This window comes from Homo sapiens, chromosome 10 (assembly GCF_000001405.40).
Source record: "Homo sapiens chromosome 10, GRCh38.p14 Primary Assembly".
NCBI classification, from domain to species: Eukaryota; Metazoa; Chordata; class Mammalia; order Primates; family Hominidae; genus Homo; species Homo sapiens.
The window spans coordinates 104,424,254-104,447,316 of record NC_000010.11 but is presented as its reverse complement, the minus strand read 5'-3'; the positions used below and the strand labels follow the sequence as shown (position 1 = coordinate 104,447,316).

The 23,063-nt window shown below is 40.1% G+C and overlaps 1 protein-coding gene across 3 annotated transcripts in view, besides 2 other annotated features; it reads right to left on the bottom strand.

Moving 5' to 3' along the window:
* The window catches only part of CFAP58 (cilia and flagella associated protein 58), a 116,583-nt gene that overhangs the window by 7,786 nt on the left and 85,734 nt on the right, over nucleotides 1–23,063 (bottom strand). The gene's annotated exons all lie outside the window — the stretch shown is intronic.
* Nucleotides 1,214–2,413: an enhancer, noted in NCBI's record as "P300/CBP strongly-dependent group 1 enhancer chr10:106204662-106205861 (GRCh37/hg19 assembly coordinates)". NCBI's record gives its function as "activates an origin of replication core promoter dependent on BRD2, BRD4, P300/CBP, MED14 and CDK7 cofactors, with strong dependence on P300/CBP, by STARR-seq in HCT116 cells {active_cell/tissue: HCT116}" and the evidence as "EXISTENCE:reporter gene assay evidence [ECO:0000049][PMID:35650434]".
* Nucleotides 16,901–17,502: an enhancer, noted in NCBI's record as "OCT4-NANOG hESC enhancer chr10:106189573-106190174 (GRCh37/hg19 assembly coordinates)". NCBI's record gives its function as "activates a minimal SCP1, AML or CMV promoter by ChIP-STARR-seq in naive H9 embryonic stem cells {active_cell/tissue: H9 hESC(naive)}" and the evidence as "EXISTENCE:reporter gene assay evidence [ECO:0000049][PMID:30033119]".

The following is a 23,063-nucleotide window of genomic DNA, read 5'->3' as shown; positions in this document are numbered from 1 at the left end:
GCCTGGTGCAGTAGCTCGTGCCTGTGATTCCAGCACATTGGGAGGCTGAGGCAGGAGGGTCGCTTGAGGCCAGGAGTTCAAGATGAACATGGGCAACATAGTGAGACCCCGGTTCTATTTAAAAAAAAAAAGAGAGAGGAAAAAAAGAAAAATACAAAAATTAGCCAGACATTTTGGTGCATGCCTGTAGTCCCAGCTACTTAGGAGGCTGAGGTGAGAAGATCATTTGAGCCCAGGAGATCGAGGGAGCAATGAGCTGTGCACCACTGCACTCCAGGCCCCATCTGAAAAAAAAAAGAAAAGAAATATGATGGCATGGGAAGAAAAGAAATCTGAAAATGTCTTGAGGGAAGAGGTAAATATCCAAGGAAACTTGGGTATGCATATTTGTAGACCTAAAAGAAAGGATTTTCTAGAAACCCTAAGCAAATGATAATTCTGTAACTTTATTTAAACAATAAACAATATGAAATCCTCATTTGAATCCTAGAGTTTAATTGCTTGTAAAGTGTTTTCCGACCCTTGAACTAAAGAAATTACATATAAGCAAAGATTTATTTCTAAAGCATCTCAATTCTAGATTTCCAAATCACTAAACTGCAATAATTTGAATAAACATTGATAAAGTCTAGTGTGTCTACTCATCAGTCTCTGTACACATTTATTTCCTTAAGATAATTGTGGTAAGCACAAGCCCTGTCATTAAATGAAACATTCAGTCAAATGGATATTAATTTTTACCTACAGCTAAGTATTCTTAGTATTGTTATCAAATAATCTGCTTTTAGCAGAAAATATAAAAGTCATAAAAAATCAGGTGAAAGAAAAATCATTAACTAGTCATTGTTACCATTTGTTTCAGTTTTTCCTTTTCCCTGGCCAAATTATTGAAACTCCATTACAAAAACATAGCTCTATTTATAGAAGAGTGTATGCAACTTAAAAAGTATTTGGATGGAATAAGCTCTGGGAAAAACACATATGAAAAAAATACTCACCATTTAAGAAATAATTCCAGAAATGACAAGGAAATCCAAAAGCCCGTGCCAAAGAAGAGAACTTGAACAAATCAAATTACAAAGTGATGATCTTCCCTTGCTGTACAACACCTCCTGTCACACCTTACAATATAATCTTGAGAAAGATATCAGGAGGTGAGTTTATTTTCTAGAGACACTTAACACCTACTCTGTTGGGAAAATAACACTTCTGACAAGGCTTCAAGATTCAATTTGGAGAGGGTAATAAATATGTGGAGAAGTCCATGAAACAGTTTTGTCCATTTCTTTCAGCTCACCTTTCTCTATACCAGAGTACAGATAGACTTGCAAAGGAAAGAACCTCACAATGACAGAGAGAAAGCAATCTGGTTTGGAATATAATAATGTCTTAAACTGAAAAGACCATCTTACTCCAAGCATCTTGAAATGTTTCACAGGTGTAATTCTCTTCAATTACTCTTGGTAGGTTGAGAGGAGAAAGACACAGAGAAGAAAGTTTGAAAGAAACAAAATATTGTCACCTCACCACATAGGTGAGGATCTCAGCATCAGCAGGAATTAATGGTGCCTCCACAGTCCATTGGCAAGTCAAAAACCTAGTGATGATATACCCCAAGAATCACCTTTCCTGTGCAAAACTTCCCCTGGGGCTCAAAGACATGGTATCACCCTGAAAATATTTGGGCAAAATTGAGCTACAAAATTCCATCTACATGATATCATGGATAGAAGAATCAAGCCAGAAAGTGGAATCAGGTTCAAAGCCACATTAGAGAGTAATGATGGTAAGAGCATGACTCACCTCCTCCATCTCCCCATCTACACCATCTGAATAAGCCCTGCCATGTCCTCTAATAGAAAGTACAGTGTTCTGACACAGAGTGAATGATGTTGTCATTTATCCTGTCTTCTTCGTCACTTCCAATATTTTGTTTCTTTCCTTTTTGTTCTTTTGGTTTGTTTTTTGTTGTTGTTGTTGTTTTTTTTTTTTTTGAGACCGGGTCTCACTCTGTCACGCAGGCTGGAGTACAGTGGCACAATCATATCTCACTGCAGCCTCAACCTCCTGGACTCAAGCAATCTTCTCACCTCAGCCTCCCAAGTAGCTGGGACTATAGGCATGCACCACCATGCTTGGCTAATTTTTGTACTTTCTGTAGAGGCGGGGTCTCGCTATGTTGCCCAGGCTGGTCTCCAACTCCTGGGCTCATTTTATCCACTCACCTCAGCCTCCCAAAGTGCTGTGATTACAGGCCTGAGCCACCACATCCAGCCTAGTATTTCTTTCTAGGCTTTAACCTTAATTGAAATGGATTTATTATAAAGAATAGCTGAGCAACTGAACTGTGAGGGCCCACAAGTATGGAGAAAAGTGAAGAAACTGAATTACCACTAAAGCTGTCTGGGTAGTCAAAGTCAAAAAGTTCTGAGAATTAAATAACCCAGGGCAAGTGAGCCCTGTGTGTTCATGGTGGGTAGAAGAAATAACAAATGAAACTTCAGGGACTAAGATAGTGGAATACATGAAGAGCAGAGGCAAATGGAATGGGGGCAGTTGTTGGAATGTGTATTGCCCGGCTTCACTGTGCGTGAATTTTGGTCAATGCTTACAGTGGAAAACCTGTCTGATAAAGCAAAGTCTGGTCAGCATTAACATTCTAGCCTTGTGTATCATACAGACTCATATTTTTGGAGAATGTGCTAGTAATTTAGATAAATATGAAATGTTTGATGGATTGAAGGTCTTCAGTACATTGTCTTCCAATTTATTTCTCTCGTAATCCTCTACAAGGGCCAACCAAGCTCTTCAAACATTGTGCAATGGTGTGTATAATAACCCCATTTAGAGACAAAGCGTGCAATTCTATTATAAAGAGAATCTATCTTATGCAACAGAGACTCATTAGCTGTCCAATGTATATTGTCTCCATAAGCCAGCAGTGGCAGAACCAGCTGCCTTATAATACATATCCTGTCCTTCTTTACTAAGCCACATCCATTTCTCTTTAGTCAATTAATTTGTCACTTGGTTAGAAGCACCATATGTCAATGAAACATCATAAGAATATCATAAAGAGGATATTATTTCCCCACCAACAAAAGATTGCATCTTCAGTTTGGCATTTCTTTTATTCCGAGTTTTCTGGTGATGCACAGCAATATCGCTTTGTAGCATGCCTCACTATTTTATGAACAGCTGTACTGGAATCAAGCTCAACTACTAATACCAAAATACTAGCTTTCTCTTTGGCTAAGCATGTCTTGAGAGCACTAACCATACTATGTCCATCCTTGAAATGATAGCCTCTTCCTAGACATCCTGTTCTCTCCGTTGGACAGGCCATCAGATGTGATTATGAATTCTTTTGCTGTGAAGAATCTGCCAAGTTATGCTGGGTAATCACACATCTCATTGTCAATATCAGCTAAGTATGGTAGTAAGAAATTAATTACAGTATTAGCTTCCAGTAATGCTGTTATTACATGGTGGCAGTCTGTAACCTCACAATGGAAATTCCAGACATATTCTGAACAGCCTATGCAAATAAGAGTCAGTGCTACTCCAGGTACAATTCAGAGGGAGAAATTGAGTTTCTCACAGAACTCCTTTCCCCACCAAGCTACAGTTTTATAATCACTGTCTGTTTATATCTTCAGCTGAAAACAGAAGGTAGTTCACATTCAACATGCACCTCAGCACCCCTTCTTCCTCAGCTCGCATACACGAAGCAATAACTGACTGAGAGGAACTAATTTATTCCATTTTCATCTGAATCTGTATTTGGCAAATGCCAGTGCATTGATTCTGCTCACCCTGGAGTCATCAATTTGCTTGGGTGAGAGTTGGGAAGAATCACCTCACTCTGTGAACAAGCTGACTCAAGCGAAACAGGCAGCTTTCCTCCAGACCAAAGACACATGCTTATCTACACCTACCAGGGCAAAAGCTACCCACTCAGATGCTTGAGTGCCAAGAACTCCAAGGAAAGAGATTCCATCTTGCCTTCACTCCAGCCTTACCCAATGGGTTCAAGATAATGTTGATTTTTTTTATTCAATAACCACTGCTTCTGAGAGAAGCTACTTCACAGAATACACAGAAAATCTCTTTCTCAAAATGTCAACAGATATCATGTTACTACCAACAATATTTTATCTTTATAAACCCATTATTTCTCTCCAACTGAATTTTGAGCCTTTAAGGCCAGAACCATGGTGAATCTCTCTCTATATAACTCGCACCTGCTGTTGTGCTCTCCTCATTCTATTGAGGAAGCTTAATAATTTCATTGACTGCAATTACACGGTCAGGTCAGCAAACTATGCCCATCGTATTTTACCAACATACATCAATACAGGTACAGATATATTTGTGTTGAGAACTTTTACTTGAATTAAACCATTCAATAACATCTTCCAGTTAGCAGAGCTTGCATAATTCACTTTATTGAGCTGGTCCTATGAGTTCCATCACTTCGAGCAATATTTTTTTATTATGTATGTTGTGTATAACTCAGAAAATCACTTGAGGTACAACTTTGCCTTGATCTCTTCAATATTTGTAGAGGTTTTCTGATAGTTCAAGTAGTTTCAAACATTTTTTTAATTCATAAGACTTGCAAATGTATTCAAATTAATTGGCTCTGAAAAGACTACTTGTATGTGCATGTACATACTGATACACATAAATATAAAAATGTAAGCATAACTTTTTTTTTTTTTTTTTTGAAATGGAGTCTCACTCTCTCACCTAGCCTGGAGTGCAATGGCACCATCTCGGCTCACTGCAACCTCCACCTCGCGGGTTCAAGAGATTATCCTGCCTCAGCCTCCTGAGTAGCTGGGATTACAGAGGCATGCCACCACGCCCAGCTAATTTTTGTATTTTCAGTAGAGATGGGGTTTCACCATGTTGGTCAGGCTGGTCTCGAACTCCTGACCTCGTGATCTGCCCTCCTTAGCCTCCCAAAGTGCTGGGATTACAGGCATGAGCCACTGCACCCAGCCGTAAGCATAATTCTTAAACTACATTCCTCAACTAAATAATGTGTTGACTTTTTAAACAGCCTCCTTAAACACAGAAATCCTAATTGCACACATAACTCTTTTCCAGAATTGAAAAAAAAAGGCAATACATTTTTGCCTCTGTGCTTGGTTTCAGTCCTTTTTCCATCCCCCCACTACCATCCATAATTCTTAACAAAAGACAAAAGTTACATTTAAAATTCTAAGCAAAATTACTTCCCTCTGTATATAAAAGCAACTCTAGAACACGGCCTAATTTATCTGGAAATGCCTGTTTTCATTAACAGAAAAATAAATTAGAAACTCTGTAAACATATTACATTTCTATCTAGCTTCAGAAAAGAAAAAATAATGCCTAATACCCTGGGGCTTTCTTGTTTATTGGTTTTATAACGAAGATGTCAGCTAAACTGAACTCTGGGCCTATCTTGTTTATGATGTCATGAAGTAGTAAAGCCCCCTAGAGAGGACAGGAAATGCTGGCATTTGGTGATGAAACAGAATTACACAGCCGAGTTCCTTACGAGCAGGGAACTAGTCGGTTACACAGTGGTTCTTGGCTTTAGATGTAGATGAGTAAGTGTTTTATGAGGCATATGAGAAATTTGCATGCACTAACCTTCACCATTTTTGTAACAATAGGAAAAATGCTTCTGGTGCTTTCTGATGTAAGCAACACAAGCTTTCTTGAGAGATGTTTTTGCAAGGGACTTTATTTCCAAAATGCAAATATATGTATGTAAAATCTGGTACAAAGTATGTAATTCTCTAGGCTAGCCTGAACATTGTTACCAAGGCTGTTTGCTTGCTTTCCTAGCAATTTAATCCATGTGAAGAATTTGCACATATTAAAAATCATGATAGTGTTGACTTTTCTTAAAGCCAGTAATGAAACACGTCCAGAGAAATTCAAGTCAACTAAGTATTTATTTAGCAATAACTCTATGTGTGTGACTGTTCTAGGTTCACACAAAGATCAGTAAGGTCGGCTGGGTACGGTGGCTCACGCCTGTAATCCCAGCACTTTGGGAGGCCGATGCAGGCAAATCACTCGAGATCAGGAGTTTGAGACCAGCCTGGCCAACATGGCAAAATCTCATCTCTACAAAAAATACAAAAATTAGCTGGGCATGGTGGCAGGCGCCTGTAATCCCAGCTACTTGGGAGGCTGAGGCAGGAGAATCACTTGAACCTGGGAGGCAGAGGCTGCAGTGAGCCAAGATTGCTCCACTGCACTCCAGCCTGGGTGACAGAATGAGACTCTGTCCACTCCCCACCAAAAAATAATCAGTAAGGTCTAGAGTTTAGTATCCAGTTATGGAAAAACAAATAACTAAGTCATTATAAAACAAAACAGTCATGCCAGGTTCCCAAAGAGGTGCTAGGAGTACTATGCATGTGTAGGTAAGTTCAAAAGTGGAGATGATATCAATTTGGTGGGCCACGGAAAGGGAAATATTTCAGATGCATCTTGGTGGGAGAAGAAGTAGCAGTAATATTTGTATTTGTGGATCTGAAAAGGTCTTCACTATCAAAGGACAAATTGAATAGATAAAGCCACTTGAAGTTAATCCATTTTAAATAGTATCCATTGTCTCTATGACGATTAAATTTCTTAAATTTATCTGAATACCGTGGAGAAATTTGTTTGAGGGAATTTGATAGTTATTGATGTACCTCTGTTAAGCGCATAACAGACATAACTCCTCATTCCCTAGAAACATTTTCTGATTACATTTTGCCTCCTTTCCTTTGGTTTTGCTGGTTATAAATGTTTGGACTGGAGAGGGCTCAATCCTTGAAGCTAGATCATTGGATTCAAATCATAACTTGGCAAGGATAGGGAGGATGAATTACAAGGATTCAAGGATGGGTATCAGATTACCGGGAACACAGGAATGGATTCCTGACCCAACCAAATCACATTCATGTGGTTTTTTTAAAATTCAACTTAATTGGCTATTCCAAAGAATTTTTTTTTCCTATTCTTGGTGAATAGAGCCCTTCAGATGCAAAAAATAGAATTGTGTTTGGTATTTTTTGATAAAAGGAGCTAAACAAGGACCTATAGATGCATGCTAGAGCAGTCATCTCTGGAGACGTTAGCATGCGTAGACGGTAAATGTTTAAAGGGGAAGAAGAGGAGTTGTTTAAAATAGTAAATCAGTGGCCGGGCGCGGTGGCTCACGCCTGTAATCCCAGCACTTTGGGAGGCCCAGGCGGGTGGATCACGAGGTCAGGAGATCGAGGCCATCCTGGCTAACACGGTGAAACCCCGTCTCTACTAAAAAAGATACAAAAAATTAGCCGGGCCTGGTGGCGGGCGCCTGTAGTCCCAGCTACTCAGGAGGCTGAAGCAGGAGAATGGCGTGAACCCGGAAGGCGGAGCTTGCAGTGAGCCGAGATCGCGCCACTGCACTCCAGCCTGGGCCACAGAGCGAGACTCCGTCTCAAAAAAAAAATAGTAAATCAGTAAGTCACTTCCAAATTTAAAGAAAATTGGAGTTGAAGAATAAGTAGGTTTCCAATTAGCTTTTGCTATTTTTCTTTGAAAATATGTTGTTGTTGTTGTTGTTGTTGTTGTTAAGACAGAGTCTCACTCTGTTATCCAGGCTGGATTGCAGTCGCACAATCACAACTCATTGCAGCCCTGACCTCCTGGGCTCAAGCAATCCTCCTACTTCAGCCTCCCAAAATGAAATGAAATAAAATGCTGTCCAATTTTCAAAATAAACAATAAAATAAAAGTTTCAGTGAGATTTTTTCCTTGAAAAACTGATCTAATACTCATAAGTTTTTTGTCTTATAATTAACAAATTTTACATTTTAATTGTAATAATGTGCTACTTATTAGAACAAATAACCAGTAAACCCCAATTAAAATGACTGGGGTTTTTTGACATAACTGACAACATTATATTATAGTATAATTTGATTTCATATATCTGACTACTATAGTGCACATTTTCTTAAATTTTTATTATGTAAAAATCATACAAAAGAAAATACATAGCATATATAGCTATAAAGCATGATAATAAATGCTCAGGGTAAACCCATCACCCAACTTATGAAATAGAATATTCTCATTACCAGGAAGCTACTGCGTACTCCCTTCCCCAACCCACCCCTGTGCTTACAACCATCATCCAAGGTAAGCACCATTCTGAAACCCATTATCATAATTGCCTTGATTTTTCCATATAGTTTTATCACATATCTGTTACTTAGTTTTGCTTTGAGCTTTATGAAAATATATCTGAGTGTATCTAGTTTTCTTTGGCTTGCTTGTTTTCCTCAATAATATGGTTCTAAGATTTATTGAACCATAAATCTTATGGTTATTGTGTGTTTCTGTTCATGTAGTTGATTTGATATTCCACTGGGTAAGAATTCCCAATCTCTGCATTCACCTGTCAGTGGGTATTTGGGTTATTTCCCAGGTTTTGTTTTTATGAACATTCTTGTGCATGTTCCCAAGTTCACAAGTCCAAGTCTTTCTAGGATATAGACCTATGAGTGGAAGTGCTGCATCTTAAAGCTATATGAACATTCAACTTTTTAAGGTAATAGAAAATTATTTTCCAAAGTGCTTTATAAAAATTCCCATTGATGGGCCGGGCGCGGTGGCTCACGCCTGTAATCCCAGCACTTTGGGAGGCCGAGGTGGGTGGATCATGAGGTCAGGGGATCGAGACCATCCTGGCTAACAAGGTGAAACCCCGTCTCTACTAAAAATACAAAAAATTAGCCGGGCGCTGTGGCGGGCGCCTGTAGTCCCAGCTACTCGGGAGGCTGAGGCAGGAGAATGGCGTGAACCCGGGAAGCGGAGCTGGCAGTGAGCCGAGATTGCGCCACTGCAGTCCGCAGTCTGGCCTGGGCGACAGAGCGAGACTCCGTCTCAAAAAAAAAAAACAAAAAAAAAAAACAAAAAAAAAAAACAAAAAACAAAAAACAAAAAAACAATAAAAATTCCCATTGATTTGCATACTTGCCATTGCTGAGTGTTGTTAGGCATTCCTAAGCAAAGGACCCAGTTAAGCCATACCCAGACTCCCAACCCACTGAAGTTATGAGATAATGTGTGTTGTTTTAAGCTGTGAAATTCATGGTCATTTGTAATGGAGCAATAGATAACTAATACAGACATGTTAACTTTTGTCCTTCTAGAAACAGTAAAATGGCATCTCAATGTTATCATATGTCCCATCAAATGTTCCATTTCCCTCCTTATAAAATAAGGTTGAGTTATTTTCTCCCCAAGTTTATCCATTTGTGTTTCCTCCTCTGAGAAATGCCTGTTCACATATAGTATTTTTTTTTACTGATTTGTAATTATTTATATATTCTGGATATAGAAAGATATATAAAGTTTGTGCTCTTATGATTTCTCTTGGGGAGCAGATACTCTTAATTTTAACGTAGCAAGATTTATACATATTTCTTTTATGGTTAATGTTTTTTGTATTTTATTTAAATACTCTGACCAAGTATTTTTAAAATATTTCTGTTAGCAGTAATATTTAAAAGCTTCATTAATTTCTTCCAAATTCCCTCTTAATCCTTTGATATTTAAAACATTCTTTTTTGAAGTGCCTATACTTATACTTGTTCAATTTTCTCTTTTTCCACTAGATCCTAATTTAGATCATTGCCTTTGTACATGATTCCAGCATTTTTCTATTATCATTTTTCTAATATCATGAAGTTGCATTGACTTCATGGTATCTAACATCTTTTGCAAAGTTTAGTTTTATTTTACAGTTACCTTGCATCATATTTGCATTGTGCTGTTGGGTATTAAAAATATTAAACAATTCTACTGAAACGGACCAATGATGTCAGAATGGGCAGGGGTTAGTCATATGATGCTGGAGGGATGTCTGAGTAAGGAATAGTCACATAAATGGCAAGCTCGTTTGTTAATATTTTTATGTTACAACAACCTTTACTTTCCTGCACAATCTCACATTTGAGAGAATTGGACTAAAAATACTAGAAAGGAGTAATAGAAGCAGTAGCAGCAGCTCTCACTTTTAGATCAGGTATTAAGAATATGCCAGACATGGTGCTAAGCTCAGCACATGTGTTACTTAATAAATCCACACAACAAACCTGTGAGCTGATTGTTGTTATCCCTATTTTCCAGATGAGGAAGTTGAGGTTCAGAAGTGTCAGTGACTTGCCCAAATAAAACAACTAGAAAGTGTTAGAGCCAAGATTTGAACTTATATGAAATAGAACATTTCAATGACTGAGATAGAAATGGATATATATAATCTCCTTGCTCTTAACCACTATGCATATTATTTATAGCAAATGGAGAGTAAGAGAAGAGAACAATACAATCAAAGTCATAAAGGTGAAGAAGTGAGAGCTTAAAAGCATCCAGTAAGTAGTTCAATTTGGCTAGAGCCTGCAGCGTGTGCAAGGGACTCTACGCCAGGGACTGCCTTACCAGCCTAGAAAGGAGGTACTATATATGCCTTCAATGACAGGCAGGTGAGTTTGTTTTCAATATGATAGGCAGTTAGAAGCTGATATAGTTTCGATATTTGTCCCTGACCCAATCTCACATTGAAATGTAATCCCCAATACTGGAGGTGGGTCCTGGTGGGAGGTGCTTGGGTCCTGGTGGTGGATCCCTCATGGCTTGGTGCTGTCCTTGCAAGAATGAGTACTAGTGAGATCTGGTTGTTTAGGTGTGTGGCACCTTCCCTCCCACTCTCTCCTGTTCCTGCTTTCATTATGTGCGGTGCCTACTCCCGCTTCACCTTCCACCATAAGAAAAAGCTCGCTGAGGCCTCCCCAGAAGCTGAGCAGATGCCAGCGCCATGCTTCCTGGACAGTCTACAGAACGATGAGCCACTTAAAACTCTTGTCTTTATAAATTACCGAGTCTTGGGTATTTCTTCATAGCAATGCAAGAACAGCCTAACACAGAAGCTACTGAGGGCTTCTTGGTGTATAACAGATTATTGTTCTACTAATAAAAATGTTATTCTATTGTATCGTATATACATACACTACTCTAATAAATTATTTACATTATAAAACATATATAAAACAGAACATTTCAAAGATTGAGATTAAAATGTACATATGTGCAGAAATTCTAATATTTCTTACAGCACTCAGTGTTTAAGTGTTCCACTTCAGAGAACTGGCTTAAGATCATAGAGAGGACCTGAATCAGAATAGTGCCTGGGGGGAAAAAAGAGGTTGGAAGCAGATGCAAGAGCATATGGAGATGGAATTACATGATCAGTGACTGCCTGGAACATGGGTGGGAGGAGTCGGAAATGACTCTGGCACGTCAAGCCTCTGGGAGCCTGGAAAAGCTGCCACACCATGAATGTGCATACCCATGCCAGGGAAGGAGCAGGCTTCAGGCAGAAGATGGTAAGTTCAATTTTAAAGAGTCAACAGGGCATCCTTTTGACAAATAAGTTTTAAGAAATATAAGCCCAGAATGCAGAAGAATCTATATAAGACATCTCGACTTTATCTACATACCAGTGATAATTGAAGCCTTAATAAAGAATGAAATCCTTGAGAGTGAAAGCAGTAAAAGCAATGTTCAAGAATATGCTCTGGAGAATGGTTAACATTCTAGGGAACAGGAGAAATGAAAAAAGACCAAGAAAGAAGAGTCAACAAGGGAGGAGAATCTGCAAACTTCTGAGCCCGAAAAGATGAGAGAGGAGGCAAATGTGAGTGTGTTTGATGCCATCAAATGTGGTTGAGGCTAAAAAGGACAAGGGTTGCAGTCTGTTGGAATTGTTAACTCATCTGTTTATTTATGTCAGAGACAGGGTCTCACTCTGTCACCCAGGCTGGAGTGCTGTGGCACAATCTTGGCTCACTACAACCTCCACCTCCCGGGTTCAAGAGATTCTCCTGCCTCAGCCTCCCAAGTAGCTGAATACAGGCACACACCACCATGCCCGGCTAATATTTTTGTATTTTTGGTAGAGATGGGGTTTTGCCATGCTGGCCAGGCTGGTCTTGAACTCCTGACCTCAAATGATCTGCCCGCCTCGGCCTCCCAAAGTGCTGGGATTACAGCCTTGAGCCAACATGTCCGGCCTGTTTACTTATCTATTTAAACATGAATTTATTTGACCATTCATTCATCCAACCATCTATCCACAAAACACGTGCTGATGGACAGACACATCAGGCACAGTGCTACTCTGGCATTATCATTGCTGATATCGTGGTTGTTCTCATAGTCACCAGCTACCATTTACTAACCAACTATTATATGCCAGTCACTTTTCATAAATTATATCTGATCCTTATAATAAGTCTATAAATCAGTAAGTATCTTCATTTTACAGATGAGGAAACAAGTAACCTGACCAAGGTCACAAGTCCTAGAGCTGTGTAGAAGACTCAATTCCAAAAGACCATGCTCCTTCCTAGAGACTGTGTGGGTCTCAAGGAATTTAGAGTCTAATGGGAGAGGCAGACAAGTGACTCAACAGGATGTTGTGATAAGAGCAATTCTTGACAGTTACAAGTGATATCACAAGAATCAGAGAAGGGACACTTCTGAAAAGAAAAGTCCACTGAGATTTCATCACCAGTAATGGTCTATCACTTCCCAAATGCTTGGAGGCTTCAACTCCAAAGGTCACCTGGCTGAATCCATGAGTTTCTCGCCCTGACTCTCTCTCTCTAGAATCTCTGCTTCTTGGTGATTTGTTCAAGGGTGGGATGAACCAGGCTGCATGAATGTTGGGATTCCACAGATAGATAACCTAATGGCATGTGCCATTCGAACCCACAGTCTGTGGTCCCAAAAGGGCTCATTCCTCACACCCTGTATAAACTGGCTAACTTAGGAGACCTGAGGCCTCCTACACTATGCTCATTGAAGCCTGGGATCAAGAGTCAGCCTAGACAATGAATTCTCAGCTTCCTCTCAACAACATGCCACTGAGGTAGGAAACACAAGAGAAGTTCTAGAACCATAAATAGCTAATTAGGCCTATATTATAAACAATCCCCTGGGGATTAATAAGAGAAGGCAGAAGGAATCCAGTTACCCATAAAATAGTAATTATAATAATAGCTAACATTTATTTAGCACATACTACAAGCTCTGAAAACCACTTTATAGACATTATCCATGTGGTCCTCACACATCAACTCCATTTCACAGCAGAGGAAACAGAGGCTGAGTGAGGCTAAGTAATTTGCCCAGGATCACACACTTAAAATGGCCAGGATTCCTACCCAGGCCAGTGTGACTCTAAGCCTAGAGCCACACACTCTTGGCTTCTTCCAATAGTTTGCAAAGCAAAGTATTTGAAGTCACCTGCCAAACCAGAGGGACAGCCAAGGGAGTGAGGGTTCTGGAGAGACCAGAGCAGCCGTGTAACTGTACATTGACAATGACAGCTGCATAAGGAAAGGATCTTAAGCAAATAACTTGTTAAAAAATGCAATGTAGCAATGAAAGCCCACTCAGCAAAATCTCGCTTACTTGGAACATTCTTTGGAAGAGTATGCTAAATTAAAATTTGAAAACAAGAAATATTCTGATGGAATTAAATACTCAAGTTGAAATAACCCCAAGTAATTCGAACTTTGTGATGAAATCCTAAAAAGCCTCCCAGCAATAGCTGGATCATGACATCATGGGATGGGCTCAGAGCAGAGAGGGCTCCATCCTGGCTCTGCTCCTCTTCATGTTCCCTATATGCCATCACACAAAATCACTGTCACTCCCTGATCTGAGCAGGTTCTCCTGAGGCTTCTTGCCTTGGTACTGGCCACTTATTTTTGCAGAATGCCCTTCCCCTATTTCCACCTCCACCCCTTGGCAAACAAATTCCCATCCTTCAAGACCCTGACGATCAAAGTAACTTCTCTTGGGAGGTCTTTCTAATTTCTTCAAATTAACTGCATCTTGCCTGTAATGCCGGTGCTCTGGGAGGCTAAGGTGGAAGGATCTCTTAAGGCCAGGAATTCAAGACCAGCCTGGACAACATAGCAAGATTCTACAAAAAATTCAAAAATTAGGCACATGCTGTGGCACATGCCTACAATCGTAGCTACTCAGGAGGCTGAGGCAGGTGGATGGCTTGATCCCAGAAGTTTGGAGCTGCAGTGAGCTATGATTTTACCACTGCACTCCAATCTGGGTGATGGAACGAGACCCTGTCTCAAAAAGAAAATTAACTGCATCTTTAGTGTTAAAGTTAGGTTTTTTTAACCTTGGGTTGATTTAGTCATATTCTTCATTGGTTTAGGCAAAGCCATCTTTAACCTTATAGCATAAATAACACTACAAGAAACATCCTCATCACAGACATATTGACACAAAATTCTGATTTATGTTCTCTGGATTAATCCTTCAAGTAGAATTTCTGAGTCAGAGTTTTTATATTATAAAGCCTTTAATACATACTACCATATTCTCTTCTAGAAAGTTTACATCCATTTAAACTCTACCCACAGTATATAAAAGTGCCTACTGGCCGGGCGCGGTGGCTCACGCCTGTAATCCCAACAGTTTTGGAGGCCAAGGCAGGCAGATCACAAGGTCAGGAGATAGAGACCATCCTGGCCAACATGGTAAAACCCCATCTCTACTAAAAATACAAAAATTAGCTAGGCATGGTGGCGTGTGCCTGTAGTCCCAGCTACTCAGGAGGCTGAGGCAGGAGAATTGTTTGAACCCATGAGGCGGAGAATGTAGTGGGCCAAGATCGCACCATGGCACTCTAGCCTGGTGACAGAGCGAGACTCCGTCTCAAAAAAAAAAAAAAGTGCCTATTACACCCACATTTTAACACTGAATATCATCATTCTTTTCTTGTCTTTGCTGGTCTGATAGGCCAAAAGGAAAGATAATTATTCTTTTAATTTTCACTCTTTTGATTACTAATAAGGTTACCTTATTTTCACATGTTCACTACTGATTCATATTTCTTCCTTTGTGAACTGTTTGCTTATTATCTCTACCAATTTATTCACTGATATCTTTTTCAAATTGATTTGTGAAAACTTTTTATATATTAAGGATAGTGAACTTTCTCTGCCATATTTGTTACAAATGTTATTCCTATTTTTTTTCTTTCCACCTTTGAAATGCTTTTTACTATTCTGATGATGTTTTAAACTTTTTGTGTAGACAAAGTTATCACTCTTTTCCTTTATGATTTCTGCCTTTGGTATTATACTTCCTCTACTTGTAGATACATACCCTAGAGAGATGCTCATGTATGTGTACAGGAAACTTGTACAGGGATGCCCCTGAAACACTTTTGCAATAGTGAAAATTTGAAAGAAAAAAACCTAAATGTTCATCATCTTTAAAAAAATGGCTATAGAATAGATATACAATGGAATTATTTTTATCTTTGATGTGTATCAAGGATAGGTCTCAAAAATATAACGTTGAGTGTGGAAAAAAGAAGAAAATGAATAATAATGCATTCAGTATAATACCATGTATATAAATCTAAAATGTACCAAGTAATTTTACACATTGTAAACGCATCTATTTGCAGTAAAAGCACAAAAATATACTGAAGGAATACACATCAAATTAATGACAGTAGTTGCCTCTGGAAAAGGCAGAAAAGAAATGGGACTTTGAAGGGACACGAAGTTTTCATCTAATCTGAAAATCTATTCACTTCATTTTTTAAAAAATCTGAAACAAATGTGACAAAACATTAATATTTACTATTTTGGGTGAATAGAGACTGGTTGTGTTCTATTATACTCGACTTTTCTGCATTAACATTTTATCTAAAACTTGGGGAAAAAAGGGGGGGATTTTTCCCACCCTCAAGAATATGTAGAAATATATTTATAGTTTATTCTAGAACTTTTAGGAAGTTTTTAAAATTTAGTGTATGATAAGAAATAGAACTCTAATTTTTCCAAATATAAATCCCATAACACTATGTCTATGTTTCTTGTATGTACTTTATTATACTGTGCTGTAGTTATAGTTACTTGTTTACATGCTTGTCTCTTCCACTAGACATTGCCTTTGTCACATATAAGAACTGTTCCTGTGTCTTTCTGTATCCCTAGAATAAGCATAAGACCTGGTACTCAGTGTTTGTTGAATGAGTGTGTGAATGAAAAGAAGAACGAATGAATGATTAATGTAACTGACTAAACAACTCTCTGCCACTCCCAGTAGTGCCCTCATTCAGATTACATCAAATACACTCAGTAAATCAGAAAGAACCTAGTAGCCAAACTGGTACCCAACTAATCATGACCATAAAACAGAACTGTGCTCATCAGTGTGGTAGCCACTAGCCACCCGTGGCTATCAAGCACTTGAAATGTAGTCTGAATTGATATTTGCTTTAAATGTTAATACATGGCAGATAGTGTAAACTTAGTACAAAAAATATAAAATATCACATTAATAAATTCATTTCATGTTGAAGTGATATAATTTTGCATAAACTGTGCTAAACAATGTTATTAAAATTAATTTTACCTGATTATTTTTACATTTTCTTATTGTGGCTACTAGAAAATTTAAAATCACACACATGGCTCACATTATTTTTTAGTGGACAGCACTGAAATAGAGCAACAATGGTGTTTTTTAGATGCAAAAATGTGTCCAGTTTCACATATGCCTAATTTGAATGCAAACCAATCACCTCTTTATATAAATAATAGCATGAAACTAGATGAAAAAGTATGAGGTCATTACGCTGCACAGCCAACAACTTGGAAAATCAGACCTCATGCAAATTGTTCCATAAAGCACTTAATAAAATTTTAGGGAAGTGGAAAATTGTGTATTAAGCTCTGTAATAGAAAGAAGATTCGTTTCCAAAAGAAGACTGTAAGTGAGAAGGTAATGTGAAAAGCAAAATCATAAGAAAACAACCTTTTGTTGTCAGGCTCCTAGTGTTTCTGTTGCCCCGTGGACTATCACTGGATCAGCCTGTGTGATTTTAGTGGTCCTGGGGCTGCTCCCTTTTTAATGCTGTCTACTCTTGACTGGAAAGTGACGATTCTAGTATAGCCCCATTGACACTAAGACCCATGTGGTCCAGTCACAGAGAGCTATCATGGGCAAAGAAAGCGACCAACAAGTAACTTCAGGCTAACTTAAGTACATCATTCGTGTCTTTTAACTATTGTGAAGGGGATACATTATCCACATCAGTACTTAAAACCCCCCTTCCCTCACCATGTGCAGCCACCCTCACATTCTTGACTTCAAAAGCTCTAGAATAGCTCCTTTCATGTGCTGCCCATCTATCCACCCCTCACTGCTATCCTGATTATGTACCTGAAAAGCCAAGGGAATGACTCTGCAGGTGCAGACCCCTCCCCGAGTGGGAGGAGGGGCTGTCAGTGAGAGAGCCAGAACCCTCAGAGCAGGCAAAAGAGGAGAGGCTGTGGGAAAAAAAAAAAATGAGTTTATATTTGTGTCCTGTCCAAGCCAGCCAAGGCCTGGAGCCTCAAATGCAAAAGTGTAGTGATTCTATGCCTAGCCCAAGAGTCAACCCGGGTAGGTAGTAGCTCAACAGATGAAAAGATCAGTTTTTATAAAAATAAAAGTGAGGGATGGTATAAACGTGTACCTTGAGTTGTTTTTTACTTAAGAGAAAGCGAATTTGGGTGAGACCTAGCAGAATGAAAGAATTCACACATCAGAGAGCCACAGTAATATTCAATATCAAAGAGGAATTGAGGCTTCTCCAAATACACATCAATTTCAGAAGTGACGCTTACTAACGGATCCTTAACAAGGAAATTTTAATAAACAAATTTGGGGGACAGGAGCTGATATGCCACAGTAGACACTGGCATGCTTTTTTGCCTTTATCTGGCTGACATATTACCCCTGAAATTCCACAGCTAGTTGAATATGAATGTCATTAATTCAAGAGCTGGCTTTGAAATGCTCAAGCTCCATGGTCTCCCTGTCTGAATGCAGGCTCGCTCACTCCTTTGCTCTCTGCCCTCGCCACCAGGACCCTACTCAACACTCCCACTCCACCAGCACATTAGCCTCTGCCTGATTTCATTGCTCTCCTTCTTCTTCCTCAACTGCAGAGTCAAATGCTTCTGAGTGACCCCCACAGCACCTGCCACCCCCTCATCACCAGCCTCTGTGACAACTGCCATGCACACTCCCAGCACTACCAATCTCCTACTGTGGGGCCAATCACTCAGCTCCCTGGCCACACGGTGCTGCTGGAGGGCAATGCAGAACTGTACAGAATGGAGCTGCTACGAATTCAACAAAATCAATGGATCCTCTGTGCCTTGATCCTTTCCTTTTCTCTGCTCAGCAATTCCCACGTCCATTTCTTGTGAACACCTGGACAGTGTCTCCTCCAGCAGCCTCTTCAGAACTGTCTTTGGGATCCCAGTCTCACCTCCAACATACTTGCTCGGCAGATGGCCTGATCTAAGCAGACAGAAGATACCTTAAGTGACCCCAACCTCCATCGCAAGTCATCAGTGCTACCTAAACTCTCTCCGCCTTCCTGTCCATCTCACATGAAGAGCTGGTAGCCTTCATCCTCTTGCCTGGTGTGTGCATGTGAATCAACATACGCAGACACACACCCATGCACATGAAACCACACATACTATCCCCAGGCATATCCACAAACATGCATTCCTATCTTCACCCTTGTCTCTCTTTCCTGGGCTTGCAACTTGCACTCATGCCTGTCATCCCATCCCTCTCTTTAAAATGTTTACCAGTGACGAGAAGAGCACGCATCACTCCATTAGACTCAGGGAGTAGGGCTGAGACAAAAAGGAACAGAGGTCTTGCATGGCTTATTCTGTGTTTCTAAATTGGTTGAATCTTTTACAAGAATGTATTTGTGTTTTACATGTGTGTTTTTACATTTTTTTCCCTCCAATGTTTCATAGTCAAATGTCTCCTACAAGTAACCCAAGTCTGCTGTCCCCATTGTCTCACATCTCTTCCCTTTGGGGCCCTTGGCTGCCAGACTTCCATCCCCAACAACTTCCCAGAACAGGACTCTCACAGGGCACCGGTGAGCGACTTCCCTGTGGGCATGCTTCCCTCGGTTATGCTTCTCCTGGCGGATGCTGACAGTGATGACCTACTCCCTCCTGGAAGTTCACTCCTCCCTTGGCCTGTGTGATACCACCCTTTGAGTTACATTGCAAAATCAGACACAGTCCACTGCCAGATCCTACAAACAACCAAATGAGCTTTGCCCTTCCTTCTCCTAAAATCCAGAAAGGTAATTTTATCTAAGCAAGGAATACAGAGCCTCTCCATGTGCTTACGTGTGTTTGCATAGGAAATGTCATCCCCTCAACAGCACACTACCCACTCTCACACAACAGCCAGTTTCTCTACGATCCCCACTTCAGGAAAAAGCCAAAGACGATAAGGTCACGCCAAAATTTCCATAACCCTCGATGTTGCTGAGGGAGCTTCTTCACACCCCACCTCCATATACACCAGCCAAGGGCCACCTGGCTGGGTCCTCCCTCCTCAGCCTCTCCCTACTCCACCTCTGTGCTTCTGGGGAAGGGGCAAAGATAATGTTCTAGCTGAACAGAATTTTGAAAAATGAAGAGAGGTTTAGAGCACAGACAAGGCATGGGTGCACATTCTCTGTAGGGAATTTCATTTTCAGAGACAGAAAAGAAAATCTATATTAGAAAACCACAGTCAGGTAAATGTTGTGAGTGTGTGTTAGAGATTAATCGGTGTGAGCACTAAATGAGGTGCTGTGGGTAGGAGTGCTTTGCGAAATATAACTTATCAGACAAATGTTAGATCCTTCCATCAACATCCATCTCACAGAGTTGTTGGAAGACCGAATGAGACAATATATATAAAATTGCTTTGTCAACTAGAAAAAAAAATTTATAAATTGTCATTATTCTGTGATATTTTTGCCTCTCACTAGATTAAGAGTCAGACCATGGCAATATTGAAGAAAATTAATATACCTGCTAATTTATTTTGAATCCACATTCTTGGAACTGGTTTTATAAACTGAGAATTCTAATTAATTTCCATCCTCTCACCTTTTTTCAGATGAATAGATTGAAATAAACTTCAAATTCTATTAATAACCCAGCCAAGTTCCTAATGACTGTCAATTAGACCACCGACTTTGGACTTAAGGCCTCAAAGTCATCTTTTGTACCTGTCTACAATAACAAAGCCAGTCAATTTTCTCTTGTGACTATTTTAATTTCCTTCATTTCAATCTCCTTGGGCATTGTAACAGCAAGCTTCCTCTGCAGTGGCTTCTTGGCCATTCACTCTGCTGTTAACCTCTCAAGTTTCTAAAAACCCAACATCATTTCCATTGTTCCAACTAATTTTTTAAAATAACTGATACTGTAAACAAAGCAATAAGTGAGGAAATAAAAACAAATTGAATGATTATTGGAAAGGAAGAGGAAAATAATCACTTCTTAAACAAGGTATGATTACATACCTAGAAACCCCAGAAAATTAACTGAGAAGCTATTTAGTATGATAGGTTGGATACAAACAAGTATGCAAAAATCAATAGCTCTCAACATGCCGGCAATAACCAACTGGAACATGTAATGGGGTGAAAATGTCTTTCTTCATAACTGCCAATCTCTATCAGAGGCACAATCTGGAAGAGTGAAATGGAACGAAAGGATTACTGGAGTCTCTAGTTTTCCTGTGATTTAAAAAATAAAAAAAATTTGCAGCCTTTTGTAACATGGATTTTCTTTCCCTGTTTTGTTTTTTGTTTTGTTTTGTTTTCAGCCTGGGTTAATCAAAGTTTAAACAGTCTTAAGGTCCAAGCTTCAGCCTGGATAGCTGGGGGGAGTGGGGAGGGAGAGAGGATGATGGAAGGCGGCGGGGGGAAGGAGGTGTGGGAGGAGGGGTGTGGTATGGTGAATGGTCCCCAAGGCAGCGAATTGGTTTTGTCAAACTTGGAGTTATCACTGACCAGGAGGAAAGACCGAAAGCCACCTTTGACTCTCCTCCCTTGACCTTCACAGGGATTCAATTTCTAAGTCCCCTATGCTGGTCTTGTTTGTTTTGTTTTGTTTTTCAGATGGGTCTCACTCTGTTGCCCAGACCGGAGTGCACTGAAACCATCACAGCTCACTGCAGCCTCGACCTCTGGTCAAGGGTGATCAGGTGATCCTCCCATCTCAGCCTCCCAAGTAGCTGGGACTACAGGTGAGCACTGCCACATCCAGCCAATTTTTGTATTTTTTATAGAAACAGGTTTTTGCCATGTTGCCCAGGCTGGTGTCAAACTCCTGAGCTCAAGCAATCCACCACCTCGGCCTCCCAAAGTGCTGGGATTATAGGCATGAGCCAGCACCCAGTCTATGTTGGTCTTTTTAAGATCTCATGGATTTGCTCCTTTCTCCTCCCCAGAGCCTGTCCCTTACCAACATCCTCAGTACCTCGGGCCCAAATCACAGCTACTCCTTATCTGGTCCTTTAGCCTCAGTCTCTGGCCTCAGTCTTCTTCCTTGTCACTTTTACCAAGTCACACTCTTGAACGGCTAATGTCCTGCAGAATGTAGGCCTGGACAGCCAACCAACCTCAGCTAGGACACAGGAGTCACTTCTCACCACAGACTGCACGGGTTTGGGCCCCGACTCTGCCACGGGATACTATGTGACCTTAGCCATGTTACTTGATCACTCTGAGCATCAGCTTCCTCATTTGTAAAACTGGTCTAATACTTAAAAATTCTTATGAGGATAACATACATAACATAAAGGATTGGACACATGGTAAAATAATAGGCAGTTAAGACCTGTTAGCTGCGGCTATGGGAGTTACGGTCATTGTCACTGTTAGAGTGCATAGTTGTCTCCTGGAGCTAGTGTAATGCCTATGCTTGGTCTCTAAGACATATAATTGGTCCCACCAAATATATCTAAAGGTACACTCCAAAACAAAATAGCCAGCTATATCTTCCTGCTACTCAACCACATCCCCACACTCCAGTTGTGCTCACCTCTGCCTCAGAACATTGACTCTTCATCTGTCCTCAGCCTGAAATGCCCTTTTCATTTGTTTCCAAATGTACCTTCTTCAAAAGCATTCTATTATTCTGCCCATGTGCTTCCATGGGCCTTTTCTACACCAACACCACCACCATCATATGTAGTTACTCTTCTTCTTACCCTGTGTGTCTAGCTCTATCCTAGGCAGTTTAAATCAGTTAGCTCATCTGATGAGCACAGCAACCCTGTGAATCAGGTGCTGTTCCTCTCACTGCCTTACAGCTGGAGTCACTGGGGCTTTGAGACGGTTAGTTACTTGCCCAAGGTCAGAGGTAGTCATTGGTAAGACCAGGACTCAAAATAGGTCTCAGCTCTCAGCCACTGTGCCATCCTGCCTTAATGTATGTTTTTAGGCAATAACTTGATGAGTCATTTTAACACCTCAAGGCCCAGTCCAAACATGTCCTCTTTGTCCTTGAGGAAGCCAGTTCTTACTCATCTCCCCTGCTCTTATTCTTTTGGTATGCACAGCAGTTTTAAACAACAACATCTCATTATATACCATCCCAGACAGTGGCTCTACTGCATAATTAGGCACTCCCTATTGTCAGTATCCAGAATGTCGTGTTTAGGTGTCATTGTGTATTGTTTACTGAATGGAACCGTAAAGTAATGGTCTGGATTTTCACACACTGCTCACGGAGATCAGTCTCATTTCTTCCCAAAAATACCCAGAAATCTTCTCAAATAGATCATAAATTTCTTGCAGGTAAGGACCATGTCCTATTCCTTTGTGTCTTACAAACTTCTATAGATATTATAGATACCCCAAAATGCTTTTTGGTTCATAGTCTTCCAAGCAGGCTGTCTTAATTTAGGGGAAGGCAGTTCTCTGGAGGTGTGCAGGACAAAAGGATGTAAGAGGAAATGATCTATTATCATCTCAGAACAGACAGTATACTGGCCCCTACACACATTGGAGGAAAGTGTTCCAAACTGTCAGAAGCCAAAAGCAAACTGAGTCTGATGATATCAACATAACACTTAATATGCTACAGATTTGGCAC